The sequence below is a fragment of the Homo sapiens genome, chromosome 19 (genome assembly GCF_000001405.40).
Source record: "Homo sapiens chromosome 19, GRCh38.p14 Primary Assembly".
In the NCBI taxonomy this organism is placed as follows: domain Eukaryota; kingdom Metazoa; phylum Chordata; class Mammalia; order Primates; family Hominidae; genus Homo; species Homo sapiens.
The window spans coordinates 5,003,955-5,019,545 of record NC_000019.10 but is presented as its reverse complement, the minus strand read 5'-3'; the positions used below and the strand labels follow the sequence as shown (position 1 = coordinate 5,019,545).

At 54.5% G+C, this 15,591-nt stretch overlaps 1 protein-coding gene across 16 annotated transcripts in view, besides 1 other annotated feature; it reads right to left on the bottom strand.

Moving 5' to 3' along the window:
• KDM4B (lysine demethylase 4B) overlaps positions 1 to 15,591 on the bottom strand; it is a 184,486-nt gene that overhangs the window by 134,053 nt on the left and 34,842 nt on the right. For all 16 annotated transcript variants that reach the window (XR_007066691.1, XM_005259521.5, NM_015015.3 and 13 more), the window contains exon 2: positions 3,207 to 3,289. The gene's annotated coding sequence lies outside the window, so the exon portion shown is untranslated. The remainder of the gene's footprint in view (positions 1 to 3,206; positions 3,290 to 15,591) is intronic.
• Positions 14,724 to 15,224: an enhancer, noted in NCBI's record as "H3K4me1 hESC enhancer chr19:5004333-5004833 (GRCh37/hg19 assembly coordinates)". NCBI's record gives its function as "activates a minimal SCP1, AML or CMV promoter by ChIP-STARR-seq in naive H9 embryonic stem cells {active_cell/tissue: H9 hESC(naive)}" and the evidence as "EXISTENCE:reporter gene assay evidence [ECO:0000049][PMID:30033119]".

The following is a 15,591-nucleotide window of genomic DNA, read 5'->3' as shown; positions in this document are numbered from 1 at the left end:
ACACCTGCACACCAATACGTGCACACCAACACCCACACCAACATCCACACCAACACCTGCACACCAACACCAACACCCACACCTGCACACCAACACGCACACCAACACCCGCACACCAACGTCCACACCAGCACCTGCACACCAACATCCACACCAGCACCTGCACACCAATGTCCACACCAACACCTGCACACCAACACCCACACCAACACCTGCACGCCAACGTCCACACCAACACCCACACCAACACCTGCACACCAATGTCCACACCAACATCCACACCAACACCTGCACACCAATACGTGCACACCAACACCCACACCAACATCCACACCAGCACCTGCACACCAACACCCACACCAACACCCACACCAGCACCTGCACACCAACACCCACACCAACACCTGCACACCAACATCCACACCAACACCCACACCAACACCTGCACACCAACGTCCACACCAGCACCTGCACACCAACGTCCACACCAACACCTGCACACCAACGTCCACACCAACACCTGCACACCAATGTCCACAGCAGCACGACTCCCAATAGCCAGAGAGGAGGCCACATGAGCGCCCATCAGCAGGGGAGCAGGTCGCCCGGCACCACACACAGCAGAACGCGACTCAGCCATGAAATGGAGCAAGGCTCTGACGCAGGCCACGGAGTGGATGAACTCTGAGGATGGGCCACTCAGTGAGAGACTCCAGGCACAAAAGGCCACACAGTGCGCGATCCCATTTCTATGAGATGTCCAGGACAGGCCAGTCCACAGAGGCAGGAAGGAGATGCCTGGTTTTGGGGTGTGGGGGACAGGATGAAGAGCAACTGCTGAGGGGGACAGAGCTTCCTCTGGGACAATGAGATGCTCCGGAATGAGTGGTGATGCTGCCCAGCCCTGTGAGTGCACCAACGACCTCCAAACTGTATCCTTTAAAGAGTGAATATGATGTATGTGAATTTCCTCTCAGTAAAAGTTAACTTTTACAAAGTGAAGGCAGCCTATCTGGGGACCTGCCAAACCACAGCAAGCCCACATGGTTTGCCCTGAGCTCCTCCTCTCCTTCAGCTCCAGGCCTTCGGAAGCAGGAGCCCTGCTCCCTTACTCCTGTCTCCTGTGCTCTCCCCGAGGACTTTCTAGCACCTCCTGGTTGCTGCACTCAGCACCTTCAGATATAAAGTGGGTTTATCAAGGGCTATGTGGTGAACTTCGGCAGGATGAGGTGACTCACGCCTGTGACCCCAGCACATTGGGAGGTTGAGGTGGGAGGATCATTTGAGGCCAGGAATTTGAGACCAGCCTGGGCAACATAGCCTCTACAAAAAATAAAAAAATTAGCCAGGTGTGGTGTGCATGCCTGTAGTCCCGGCTACTCAGGAGGCTGAGGCGGGAGGATCCCTTGAGCCCAGGAGGTGGAGGCTGCAGTGAGCTATGATCACACCACTGCACTCCAGCCTGGGTGACAGAGTGAGACCCTGCCTCAAAAAAATAAAGCTAACTGGCTGGGCACAGTGGCTCACGCCTGTAATCCCAGCACTTTGGGAGGCCAAGGTGGGCGGATCACGAGTCAGGAAATGGAGACCATCCTGGCTAACACGGTGAAACCCCATCTCTACTGAAAATACAAAAAATTAGCCGGGCGTGGTGGCAGGCTCGTGTAGTCCCAGCTACTAGGGAGGCTGAGGCAGGAGAATGGCGTGAACCCGGGAGGCGGAGCTTGCAGTGAGCTGAGATCACGCCACTGCACTCCAGCCTGGGTGACAGAGGGAGACTCTGTCTCAAAAAAAATAAAAATAAATAAATAAATAATAAAGCTAACTGACAGAGCAAGTTGCTTACTTGGTTCATGCTGTGTTAATTTGGGTACAAAGAAAACAGCTGAGTTTTAGAAAATTGACCATCTTGTAAGGAAGCACAAACTTGAAGGGTAAAAGCAAGATTTCAGGAGGCACAGACAGACCTGCCAATTTCCAAACCAAGTCACCAAGAGACTCGTCCATCCTGCTCCAGCCAGCAGTAAGTTAACCTGGACAAGAGGAGGCGCATGGTTTTCTGCACAGGCCCAAACAGGAAATATCTCCAGATGCGCAGGCCACGCCCTCTGTTCCAGCTAGTCACTTCTCCCACTGTGAGGAGAAGGCAACCAGGGACAATGCTCAGGCAAATGGACACAGCCATGTGCCAATAAAACTTTATTTATAAAAACAGGGGGTCAGATTGGGTCCAGGGGCCATAGTTTGCCAACCACGTGACCAGAGCCTCTTCCCTTACACTTTATGACTTCCCAAAAGAGGCTGGGCTCCACCACCCTCCTCAAGGTCCTAATCGTAGTAGAACAGAAAAGGCACCCACAAATGACTCAAGGGCCCCAGCTCAAGTCCACACTCGCCCTCATTAGCTACAGGGGGCCCTGGATGGGCCCCTTCCTCCCTCTGCACAGGGAAGCGGCACACAATCCAAGGGCGACGCCGCACAAGGCAGCCTTTCCCCGGTGCTCTGCCGGCCGCCGCTGCCACTGCCACCTCTGCCTTGACGGGAGGACACTGCACTGCTCATCCCACACTTGACACCCTCCACTGGGTCACCCGGGCCCTGTGGGTGTGGCCAGAAGGGATGAGGTCATTCTCTCTCTTCTCCTGAGTGGTCCCCCTGGGCTGCCACCAGAGGCACCTCTTTGTGCCACCGGCTTATAAGAAAGGCACAAGAAAAGGAACTAAACCCGGGGCGGCTGGGCCATGGAACTACCTCAAAGGCATTTAAAAATGAGTCTCCCATTTTTAGAGAGCCCTGCTCTAACTGCTCCCCACTTCTGACAGTGTGTGGGGGAACGCCCCTTGAGCTCAGGTGTCCCCAGGGCCGATGCAGACAGGGTAGTGGGTCCTGGGAAACCCCAGTGTCACCCGAAATGCAGGAGGAGCCACAGCTTTTCCAGTTTCTAGAAGTGAGAGTCGGGTGGTTCGATGCCGAAGGGCGAGATGCAAGCCCAAAGCAGACAGGCTTCATGAAGAAACTTGCAGAAGAACCTCCCTACCATGGCCCGCAGGCTCCCGTCTAAGCACAGCTTGCGCCTGGACGTCCCGGGAATTCAGAGCCGGTCAGGCCACCACCTTCTCCCTGGCGGGCCACCCAGGGAAGAGGCCACAGCCTTCCGGTCCCTGGTCCTGTGGGGCCACCTGGGGGCCAGGCCCGTGTTACTTACTTCTGGATGGCGAGGTTCCTGGGTGGAGATGCTCCAAAAATTCGCTAGGATTTGTCAGGTGCCTCCAGCAACAGTGATGGTTCCTAAAACATGCAAATAAAAGCATGATTAACTAAACTGATGGCACGCTCAAGTTTTAATTCTAAATTCGACTCCCACCAGCTGTACGCAGCCCGAGGACGCTTGCCTTTATTCAGATTTTCCACATTCTTGTCAATTTTTAACAAGACAAAAATCCGTAACTATAAGCACTTTACCCAGTCAAGTTTTCCAATGAGGGCCCATTTTAAGCTTAGCTCCTAAAATCTACGGGCCAAGGCAGCGGGAGTATCCGTGAACAGTCAAATGAAACCAAAGAAGCTTCTGGAGGCCTTAAGACGCAGACACCTACTGAGAGATTTTCAAGAAGTTTTGCTTCCTCCAAGGGGAAAAGTGCAGAAAATGCACCCAGTTTTTCCCCCACCTCCCAACACCAAGAGGCAGAGCACGGGGAGAGAGGGGGGCAGGGGCTGCGACCGCACAGGGGCCAAGGCACAGCCCAGGCGTTGAACTTAGTCCTGGACACAAAGACGCTCAGATACTTGTAGGATGGATGCGGAACAGAACTCCAAACTTTGGATGTGACACCAAGACTTTTTTATTTTTATTTTTTTTAAGAGACAGGGTCTCACTATAGCGTCCAGGCTGGTCTCGAGCTCCTGGCCTCAAGTGATCCTCCTGCCTTGGGTTCCCAAAGTACTGGGATTACAGGCATAAGCCACCACGCCGGCCAATATCAAGACTTTCATGGCGGGGCGAGGTGGCTGACATCTGGAATCCCAGCACTTTGGGAGGCCGAGGCAGGCAGATCAGCTGAGGTCAGGGGTTCAAGACCAGCCTGGTCAACATGGTGAAACCCCGTCTCTACTACAAACACAAAAATTAGCCGGGCGTGGTGATGTGCACCTGTAATCCCAGCTACTCAGGAGGCTGAGGCTTGAGAATCACTTGAACCTGGGAGGTAGAGGTTACAGTGAGCCGAGATCATGCCATTGCACGCACTCCAACCTGGGTGACAGAGCAAGACTACGTCTAGGGAAAAAAAAGGACTTTCACAACCTGACCTGCAGCTCCCACTGGACTTGGCACACCTGGGGCTCGGTGGGTGCCCAGGCCTGCGAGCCCTCGTCTCAGAGCTCCACCGGTGCTGGCTCTCAGCTCAGGCTGCCCTCTGCTTCCTTCTGCTCAGCTAATGCCAACTCTCACTTCAGAAGCACTCTAAGGTCCCCTCGGCAGGCCCAACCTCCAGGGCAGAGGAGCTCGCCCCCTGGGGCCCTGGTTTTGTTGTACTTTTTTTTTTTTTTTTGAGACGGACTCTCGCTCTGTCACCCAGGCTGGAGTGCAGTGGCACGATCTCGGCTCACTGCAACCTCCGCCTGCCGGGTTCAAGCAATTCTCCTGCCTCAGCCTCCCGAATAGCTGGGACTACAGGCGCCCGCCACCATGCCCGGCTAATTTTTTGTATTTTTAGTAGAGACGGGGTTTCACCATGCTGGCCAAGCTGGTCTCGAACTCCTAACCTTGTAATCCACCCACCTCGGCCTCCCGAAGTTGTACACTTTTTACAATTCACCAGGACTTTTAAATAACACCAAGTAGTACAGTGGCTCACACCTGTAATGCCAGCACTTTGGGAGGATGATGAGGGAGGATCACTTGAGGCCAGGAGTCTCAACAGCCTGGCCAACATAGTGAGACTCTGTCTCTACAAAAAATTTAAAACTTAGGCCAGGCGCGGTGGCTCACGCCTGTAATCCCAGCACTTTGGGAGGCCGAGGCGGGTGGATCACAAGGTCAGGAGATCGGACCATCCTGGCTAACACAGTGAAACCCCGTCTCTACTAAAAATACAAAAAATTAGCCAGGCGTGGTGGCGGGCGCCTGCAGTCCCAGCTACTCGGGAGGCTGAGGCAGGAGAATGGCGTGAACCCAGGAGGTGGAGCTTGCAGCGAGCCGAGATCGTGCCACTGCACCCCAGCCTGGGCAACAGAGCCAGACTCCGTCTCAAAAACAAAACAAAACAAAACACTTAGCCGGGTGTGGTAGCATGTGCCTGTGGTCCCAGCTCCTCAGGAGGATCGCATGAGCCCAGGAGTTCAAGGCTGCAGCCTGGGCGACAGAGCGAGACCCTGTCTCAAAAAAATAAATAATGCAAGTTTCACAAATGCCCTAGAGCACGCAATGAGCTCTGACATTTTCTATGTTATTTTAATCTGCTTTTTAAAATCACTGGGCACGGCTCATTCACCCGACTTCCATATCTTCCCACAGGCCCCGCCCCGGGTAGGAAGGGAACAGCAGGTCCTGGACTGCCGGGCCACGGGCTGCGCCTCTTCCCCTGTGCCAGATGAGCGGCCAAGTGCCCTGCAAAGGGCTTCACGACCTCTCCCACCTGCCCAGGCCTACCCGACACTGTCACCAACTGAACCCGAGGACCGGAATCCCTCCACGCAGCTGTGGGCAGCAGAACAATGGTTCCCAAAGATGTCCCCATCCTAACCCCCAGACCCTGGGACTATTTCACCTTCCATGGCAACAGGGGCTTTGCGGATGGGACTGAGTTAGGCATCTTGAGATAGGGGATGATCCGGGAGGCGGAATGTCCTCACAGCCTCCTCATGGGAGGAGGCCAGAGGGTGAGAGTCAAGGCCTGGAAAACGCTGCGCTGTGGCTGTGAAGGGGGAGGAAGGGCCCCAAGCCGAGGGATGCGGACACCTCTAGACGCTGGGAGAGGAAAGGAATGGACTGTCTCCGGGAGCCTCCAGAAGGAACAGCCCTGCCCACATCATGATTTTAGCCCAGGGAGGCCCATGTCAGACTTCTCTCCTCCAGGCATGGGAGAGAATGAACGGGTGCTGTTTTCAGCCACTGTGTCTGCGGCCATTTGTCATAGCAGCAAAGGGTACCTCCCTGACTTCAGCGGAGACAAGGGCCTGTCCACTCCCAGGGGCCACCCAGGCCTCTCCCCTGTGACCTGCTGCTCCTGGCTGCCACCAGGTCCCCACGGGATCCTGGGTCTCCCCTGCCACAAGTAACTGTCTCTTTGTACAGCTCTCTCCCCCGCTGCACGACGGGCCACCCCCACTCTCAGCACTTGGTCAAGAAGGCATGGAAGCCACCAGACCCTGAGGCTCTCAGCTGGACAGACCTCAGCCCGGTGCTACCAAGACCACGGGTCCTTCTGCCCTCCCTCTCTGGGGCCCCAAAAGCGCCCACTCCAAGCTGGGAGGCTGGAGGCTCTGGGGCTGAGGCCGGGCCCCAGTTCTCAAGGCACAGCCCGAGCCTAGGCCTCTGTCCACCCTGGTCCCCATCCGCAATAGATGAGAGGCCGGGCTAGCCTGCCTCCACTGCCCCTCCAGGAGGGAAGACGAGGGGTTGGGGCCCAGGCAGCTCCCTATTCCTTACGCATGGGCTATGCGGTGACTTCCTTCCATCAGTGCACAAATGGAAAGTCGGGGGCAGCATCCCGGGGAGAGGATGATGAACCCCTGCAGCTACGCCGTCAGGGCAGCAGCAACAGCCACACGGCTCCAACCCCATCCTGCTGATGGCCCACGTCCTGACGCTCACCGGGATGTGATGAGAAGAGCCCTTACCTCTGAAGTCCTCCCAACAGCCTCCACCGCGTGCCAGCCTGAGCAAAATGCCAGACACACCCCAATCGAGGGGCGCCCTACCATCTGCCTGGCCAGCCCCCTCAACACTGTCCAGGCACAAAACACAGGGAACGTGTCGGGAGTGGTCCCAGCCCAGAGGAGCCTGAGGAGAGGGCCATGGGCCACGAGGGATCCCAGGACTGCCACGGGCCACGAAGGATCCTGGGACGGCTACGGGCCACGAGGAATCCCGGTGTGGGGGGCCCTGGGACAGAAAACAGTCCATTAGGGGAAAGCAGAGGCAATCCGAATGAAGCGGGAAGTGTCATTAACAACGTGTTAATCAAGAGACAAATGCGCCACAACAGGCAGGATGTTCCCACAAGGAAAACGGGTGGGGGGTGGCAGGCAGAGACGGGAACTCTCACTACCACTTGCCCAAATTCTCTGTAAATCTAAAACTGCTCCAAAAGCTAAGTTCTATTAACTGCCAGGAGGGGAAGACCCAGGTGGCTTAGGTTTGACTGCACCCTGCCACGGGCCCAGCCTGTCAACCCTGCTGCGGCTTCTAGGCAGATCTGGGCACTAGGAATAGAACTGGCAAGGGGAGCCCACCGCAGCATGACAGAAGCCTGCAGTGACAGCCCAAGGCATCGGACGACAACGCCCCCAAACAGCACGAGCTACCGATTACGTAACAGCCACTGCCCCGCACGTGCTGACCCTGAGGGCAGCCTCAGATACAGTGCTGGCTCTGTGAGCCCCTCCGCCAAGACCCGCGGGTGGGGCGGAAGAAGAGACCACTGGCGGGAATCAGGGAGGAGACAGTGGCACCACAGCACAGAGGCCTGAGGACCACAGAACTTGGCCCCCAAGAACCCCCCAAAAGGAGGTACTCTTGGCCATGGGGCTGCCAGTCACCGGAGCCCCCAGGGCTGACCCTCGGGTGGGTTCCGAAAGTTGGGCCTGCACCAGACCACACTGCCCACCTCTTTCCCGGGTCTGAGCACGGGTCCAAAAACAGGAGTCTCTGAACCAGAAAGAAGGGATCCTCTCACCTGCACGCCTGGCGAGGTTGCCTGAGCCGGGATGGCCCAGGGCCCAGCCCTGCCTGCCTCTCCCACGGCCACAAGCCCCAGGTGGCCTTCAAAAGGGACATGCCATCTCCTGCCTCCCACCCAAGTCTTCAGCCCCACAGGAAGGTCCTCCTTTTTCCAGGGGCTCTGCGTACCCCTTACAGGTTGGGGGTGGACACCCAAAGCCTCAGATGGGCCCACGACATGAACGCTCTGGCACCCTATGAGTATGAACTCAGGAGCTCTGGAAAAGAGACAGTGAGATGGATACAGGTGTGCATATACACATGGGTTAGCGTTCCTACTTCCAAGCCCTGTCAGCAGAGAAAACCTAGAAGCAATGATGCCCCAACAGCATCGAGCACGGCCAGCACCCAGGCCACAGTTTGTAAACATCATTCTCCACTGTGAGGAACCAGGGAGCCCTGCAGGACACGTGGTCAATTCCAGGGCTGGGGCAGAATATACAAGCTGAGCCCAGATCGCCCTGCAGGACCTGAGAGGAAGGGAAGGCTTGACAGGATGGGAGCGGGCAGAAAGGACATGCGAGGGGCTCCTGATGGCCAAAACGAGGACCACCTACCTCAGCACCAGGATGAATGACAGCATCATGTTACAACCCACAGGATAAAACAAACACACAGATGGCTTTCCTGAGAGAACATGTGAAATGCAATTGAGCGCCAGGTGCAGTGGCTCACGCCTGTAATCCCAGCACTTTGGGAGGCCGAGGCAGGTGGGTCACTTGCGGTCAGGAGTTCGAGACCAGCCTGTGCAACATGGTGAAACCCCATCTCTACTAAAAATACAAAAATTAGCCAGGTGTGATGGTGGGCACCTGTAATCCCAGCTACTCGGGAGGCTGAGGCAGGAGAATTGCTTGAACCTGGGAGGCGGAGGTTGCAGTGAGCGAAGATCGCGCCACTGCATTCCAGCCTGGGCAAAAGAGTGAGACTCTGTCTCAAAAATATATAAATAAATAAAATGCAACTGATAAATGGGGAAGAGGGACAGCTTTCCTCCACAGAAGAATTCTCCTTCATAAGTGTCAAAGGAATAAGCATAACATAAAATCACCAGTCCAACACCACGGGAATATTTCCTGCAGGAAAGAGCCACGCGGAAATGTAAAAATTGGTGAGCAAAAGTTGAAGGAACAGGACATGTTCACAGGCTCAAAGTCCCAAAGGGAAAAGGAGTAACTTTGCAGTGGAGAAACTTGACCGACGCCTCAGCCAGGCGGCCACGGTCAACACCACCACGCTGAGCCGCATCAGCCACATCAGCCACACGCACCTCCTGATACACTGCACAGGGAAGGAGCAGCATGAGCCCTATGGTATGCTTCTAAAAAGTCCAGAGCCCAGGCTAACCATGAGAAAACGTCTGAAAGCCAAGGGAAGTTCCTTCTACAAAACATCTGCCTGGTGCTCTTTGGAAGTGCCAAGGTCGTGAAAGTCAAGGCAAGATGGAGGCCTTGGCACACCTGGAGGAGCCTATGAGACTAAATGGTGAGTGGGGTCCTGGACGAGGTCCTAGACCAGGAAAGGGACATTGGTGGGACAACTAGTGATATTCTAATAGAATCTATAGTTGAGGCCAGGTGCAGTGGCTCACACCTGTAATCCCAGCACTTTGGGAGGCCAAGGCAGGCAGAGCACCTGAGGTCAGGAGCTTGAGACCAGCCTGGCCAACATGGTGAAACCCTGTGTCTACTAAAAATACAAAAGTTAGCCAGGCGTAGTGGAAGGCACCTGTAATCCCAGCTACTCAGGAGGCTGAGGCAGGAGAATCGCTTGAACCTGGGAGGCAGTGGCTGCAGTGAGCCAAGATGGCGCCCCTGCACTCCAGCCTGGGAGACAGAGCAAGGCTCTGACTCAAAAAAAAAAAGAATCTATAGTTGAGTAAATTGCATGGTAGTATGGAATTGGCTAATTTCTGAGCATTCTGTGGTTACATAAGATGCTCACATTAGGGGCTGAGTGAAAGGTACACAGGAACGCTCTGTGCTATCTTTGCAACAGTTCAGTGAGTCTAAAATTATTTCAAAATAAAAAGTTAAAAAGACCAAACCAAACAACCACCTGGACCTCTGTCCTCTGAAGCTCAAGGCATAGCAGGTTTTCACTGGAAGAGGAGAGTCAGGCCGTGAAAGAGCCAAGGTGATCAGAAACCAAGTGGACACCACCACATCCCTTCCACTTCCAGGCCCCACTGAAGACCAAACCTGCTGAATTCAAGTTGCAGATCCTTCTTGAGTGAAAGAACTGAAAAGCTGACATTTGTCACCAACCTCTGCATCCTAGGGAAACAGCCTCTTATTTAGAAATATGTCACCAAAACCTTCATATCCTTATTGATACCAAAATCCAACTGAGGAAGGTGGCATGGCTCAATAAAGGAAGCAGGGAATAGGCCGGGAGCGGTGGCTCACACCTGGAATCCCAGCACTTTGGGAGGCCAAGGTGAGCAGATCTTTCGAGGTCAGGAGTTTGAGACCAGCCTCACCAACATGGCAAAACCCCATCTCTACTAAAAATACAAAAATTAGCTGAGCGTGGTGGCATCCACCTGTAGTCCCAGCTACTCAGGAAGCTGAGGCAGGAGAATTACTTGAACCTGGGAGGCAGAGGCTGCCTGAGCCGAGATCATGCCACTGCACTCCAGCCTGGGCAACACAGCGAAACTCTGTCTTTAAAAAAAAAAAAAAAAAAAAAAAAAAGGCAGGGGCCAGGCATGGTCACTCATGCCTATAATCCTAGCACTTTGGGAGGCCAAGGCGGGCAGATCACGAGGTCAGGAGTTCGATACCAGCCTGGCCAGTATGGTGAAAACCTGTCTCTACTAAAAATATTAAAAAAAAAAAAAAAATTAGCCAAGTGTGGTGGTACATGCCTATAGTCCCAGCTAATCAGGGGACTGAAGCAGGAGAATCGCTTGAACCCAGAAGGCAGAGGTTACCGTGAATTGAGATTGTGGCACTGCACTCCAGTCTGGGTGACAGAGTAAGACTCTGTCTCAAAAAAAAAAAAAAAAAGAAAAAGAAAAAGAAGAAACAAGGAGGCAGGGAACAGCCAGGGTTTTCTGGATCTCAACTAAGAAGGCTGTAGTCTCATCAGCTAATCTGGGTCTCTATATGTTAATGTAAGAACCATATTATTTTTCCTTAACATCTACACTCAAGACTAGACAAAAAATAATTCACGGTTATGAACCTACAGTAATCAAGACAGCATGGTACTGGCATAAGTACAGACATTAGATAAACGGGAGAAAGCTGAGAGTCCAGAAATAAACCCACACGCTTAAAGTCAGGTGATTTTCAATAACAGTGCCAAGACCACTCAATGCAAAAAGAACAGTTTTTTCAACAAATAGTGCTGGGACAGCTGGATATTCACACACAAAAAATGAAGGTGGACCCTTACCTCACACCATATATTTATACTAATTCCAAATAGGTCATAGATCTAAATGTAAGTGCCCAAACTACAAAACTCTTTTTAAAAACTTTTTGTACCAACAGTATCTTCCTATGTTGCCCACACTGGTCTCAAACTCCTGGCCTCAAACGATCCTCCCAACCCACCCTTCCAAAGCATTGGGCATATAGATGTGAGCTAGTATACCCAGCTCAGAACTACCCAACTCTTAGGAAAACCATAGGATTAAACCTTCGTGGCTTTGGATCAGGCAAGATTTCTGGCTAAAACACCAAAAGTGCATGTGGAAAAAGAAAAGTTGTTTGCAAAGACCTCAAGAAAGTGAAAAGACTTGGCTGGTCATGGCAGCTCATGTCTATAATCCCAGCACTTTGGCAGGCAGAGGTGGGAGGATCACTTGAACACAGGAGTTCAAGACCAGACTAGGCAACACAGCAAGATGCCATCTCCACAAAAAATAAAGAAGAAAAAAATTAGCCAGGCATTGTGGTGCACACCTGCAGTCCCAGCTACTCGGGAGGCTGAGGTGGGAGGATCGCTTGAGCCTGGGAGTTGGAGGCTGCAGTGAGCTATGTTTGTGCCACTGCACTCCAGCCTAGGAGATGGAACAATACTCTGTCTCAAAAAAAAAAAAAAAAAAAAAGAGAGAGAGAAAGTGAAAAGACAATGTACAAAACAGGAGAACATATATTTGCAAAACATTATCTGATAAGGAACTTGTATGCAGAATATGTCAACAACTCTTGCAACTCAACAAAAGACAAACAACCTAACAGAAAACACGGGCAAAGGATGGAGCAGACATTTCTCCAAAGAAGATACAAAAAGAGTCAACAGTCACAGGAAGAGATGCTTGACATCACAGCAATGAAGCAAGGGAGAAGAGGAGAGGCCAAAACCATGCCGAAAATGACAGAGGAGCCAGTGGGCTTCCAGGACCTTCTAGAAACCTCTCCAATATGGCAGAGCCTGGCCAAGAGCTGCCATTCATATTCCAGTCCTGAGATAACTTTGCTACGTTCCCCAACTCTCAAATGGGAGATGGAGGTTGGCAGGGGGTGCTCACGAGGGATGGTGGGGACAGGGCCCTCCCCCAAGGCCCTTCTAGAAGATTCCGCCTCCCCCGTTCCGCCCAGGTCCCTGCCCAGGTCTGCGCCTGGTCCTCACCACCCCCGCCCCGCCTCGTGAGCCCCATGCTTCTGCCAGGAGGTGGCTGGGGCCCGCTCTGGTGTCCCCTTGCTGGTGCTCCTCGTTGAGTCACTTCCCAGCAGCCCCATGGGAAAGGCACTGTTGTCACTCCCACTTCACAGAGCGGAACATGGAGGCCGTCCCAAGTCCCAGAGGTGCTAACCCAGGCTGTCAGCTCCAGGGCTGGTTACCCTCTTAACTCACCATATCTTTTTTTTTTTTTTTGAGATGGAGTTTCGCTCTGTTGCCCAGGCTGGAGTGCAACGGCATGATCTCAGGTCACTGCAGCCTCCGCTTCCCAGGTTCAAGCAATTCTCCCGCCTCAGCCTCCAAAGTAGCTGGGATGACAGGCATGCGCCACCATGCCCAGCTAATTTTTGTAATTTTAGTAGAAATGGTGTTTCACCATGTTTGCCAGGCTGGTCTTGAACTCCTGACCTCAGGGGATCCACCTGCCTCGGCCTCCCAGAGTGCTGGGATTACAGCCATGAGCCACTGCACCCGGCCTAACTCACCATATCTTAACCAACACATTTCCAGTTGCCAGGGAGATAAAACCCCAGCCAGGGCAGATGATGTGGCAACACGAGTCAGAAAGATGCGGCGGAGGGGCCTGGAGTGCCAGGAAGGACAGTGAGGAGGGGTGGGAGGAGCAGGAGAATGGCCGTGGGCTGCGGGGAAACAGCAGGAAGTGAAGCCCCCACAAGCCCAGGGGATGGGGGTTCCGCTCTGAGGATGGGGTGCACACTACCCAGAGGCAGGGTGGGGTTCCAGTAGTGGCGGGACAGACGGGGACAGGGAGAGGCTGCGGGGAGCCAGGCATGAAGAGGGCAGGCCTGCAGCAGGGATGGAAGGAAGGGAGGCGGGACCAGCACCATCCTGGCTCCCTGCCGCCGCCACCAGCCCCCCATCCTTCTTCTCTGTCCTTCACTAAGAGAACATCAAAAACTGTCCCCTACCCATGAGCCCTCTCCCAGGACCCCCACAGCCCCCAGATCAGGTGATGGAGGCCCTGAAGTGCAGCACGAGACCACTGGGATGAGAAGCCACCTCTTGTGACCCAGCATCACCACTCACCTCCGCCAGAGGAGGACGCGGTGACTGCAGGGGCGACCCCTGCCCCTCATATCACTTAGACCCCCAGGGCCAGTGCCAAGCAGGGGGCTCTCTACCCCACATCCCTCCCAGCTGTGTGGCGAGGCAGCCGCTGGAGAATGGTGGGGACCTTCTCCCCCGTGGCCCTGTAGCCTCTAAGAGCGATCTTAGAGGGACGTCCTGGGTGAGGACATGGTACAGAGCACAGTCCCCCAAGGCCTGGTCCCAAGACCACTGAATGCAGAAAGAAAAGGTGTTTCAACAAACAGTGCTGGGACAACTGCTTGATATCCACATGCAAATAAAGGAAGGTGAACCCCCACCACCCACCATGAGGCCCGGAGGAGGGTGAGGCCCCCACCTCTGGGGCCTCAGTTTCCTCATCTGTAAAGGGGGCTCCCCATGTTAACACCCTCATCGTGGGGTCTTCAGGAAGCTCAATGAGGTCCCCTAAGTGGCAGCTGTCACCATCCTGTCACTCAGGAGGCTGACCAGCAAGTCCAATGACACGACAGGTCACAGAGGCCATGGAGGAACAGGTGCCCACACTGATCTATGCCCCAGTGGCCTGGCAGCACCACTGGGAAGGACGGTTTGGTAACATCTTTCAAAAGCACCTGCCCCTTCTTGCCAGCTGCCCCGGGCATCTGTGTTCTCCATACTTGTGCCACCTGGCCACCAACATCTCCACAGGCCACTCCTGTAGCCTCAGATGTCATGGGGTGACAGAAGTCCACCATCAACTCCACACACAGCCACAGAGTGGGCTGCACAGACGCATCTCCAAGCTTTGTGCTGGATCCCTGGGACAGCAGCTATCTGCCAGGTGACGGCCGCAGGACAGGCCGGCACACACAGAGCGCGCAGAAAAGGAAGACGCTACACAGGTACCTCTAGAAGGGTTACCACTTCCAGGGGTGGGAGAATGAAGCCTGGGGAAGTGGGAGACTGTGCAGGGGGTGACCAGCTCGTCTCACTTTGCCCGGGATGCTCCTGGTTCCGGCACCAAAGCCTTACGTCTGTCCCATATTTGCATGTCTCTGGGGTCAGGCTGGGGGCTGTAATCTGAGGGCTGCCTGGACAGTAGGGAGTGTATTCCGGAGGGGAGCAGGGGTGGCCTCTGCCCAACACCCAGGGGTACTGCCCACCTGTGACCATTAAAATATAACCGCCTTCCTGCCCCTCTGTGGGTGACTTCTCACGCTCACCGCACGGGGGTACGGGGACTCCCAGGGAGCACAGAGCCGTGGTGCATCTCACAGTCAAGCGTTCTCAACTACATGAAACTGGGGAGCTGAAACGTGCACGGCAGCACACATGCACACCGGGTCACAGGGACTGGCTGTGTCTAGACACTGCCGAGCGTCCCCAGACAACATGCCTGGCTGAGGGCATTGCTCTAGGAAGCTGCCGGGCTGGGGTGGGCCTGACGATCCGTCTCTGGATCGTGGGTAGAGGTGTATGAGCCCGGGGGGCAGCAAGGGCTGAGAAGGGCCAAGGAGCTGGCGGGATGCGCGGTGAGAACAGGCCCACTGTGGGCCATGCACTCCAGGCCGGGTGAGGAGGGAGCGAGGGCCTGTGGCAGGGCAAGAGCTGGGAGCCGAGCACACGAATGGTGGAAAGTGCCAGGGGCCGGCGTGTGGAAATGGCGAGGCCATTGCACTGGAGGGGTTCCCACGAGTCTCCTTCCCCCAGAAGAAAAGGACTTAGGAGAATCCTTAACCTCATCCTTAAGTCTCTGCCAGCACACCCGCCCTCCAGGACACACGCCATCCACCGCCCTAGCCGTCCCCAGTGCCAGCTTTACTGCCACGTATTAACTTCAAAGAAGCATTTGTGTACCAAAGTACACAGAGAAATGCACAAACTCTAAAAAATAACACGAAACAGGACGCGCAGAGGGGAGCCAGACGCACCCAGGCAGGAGACAGCATTCTCAAGCGGCTGA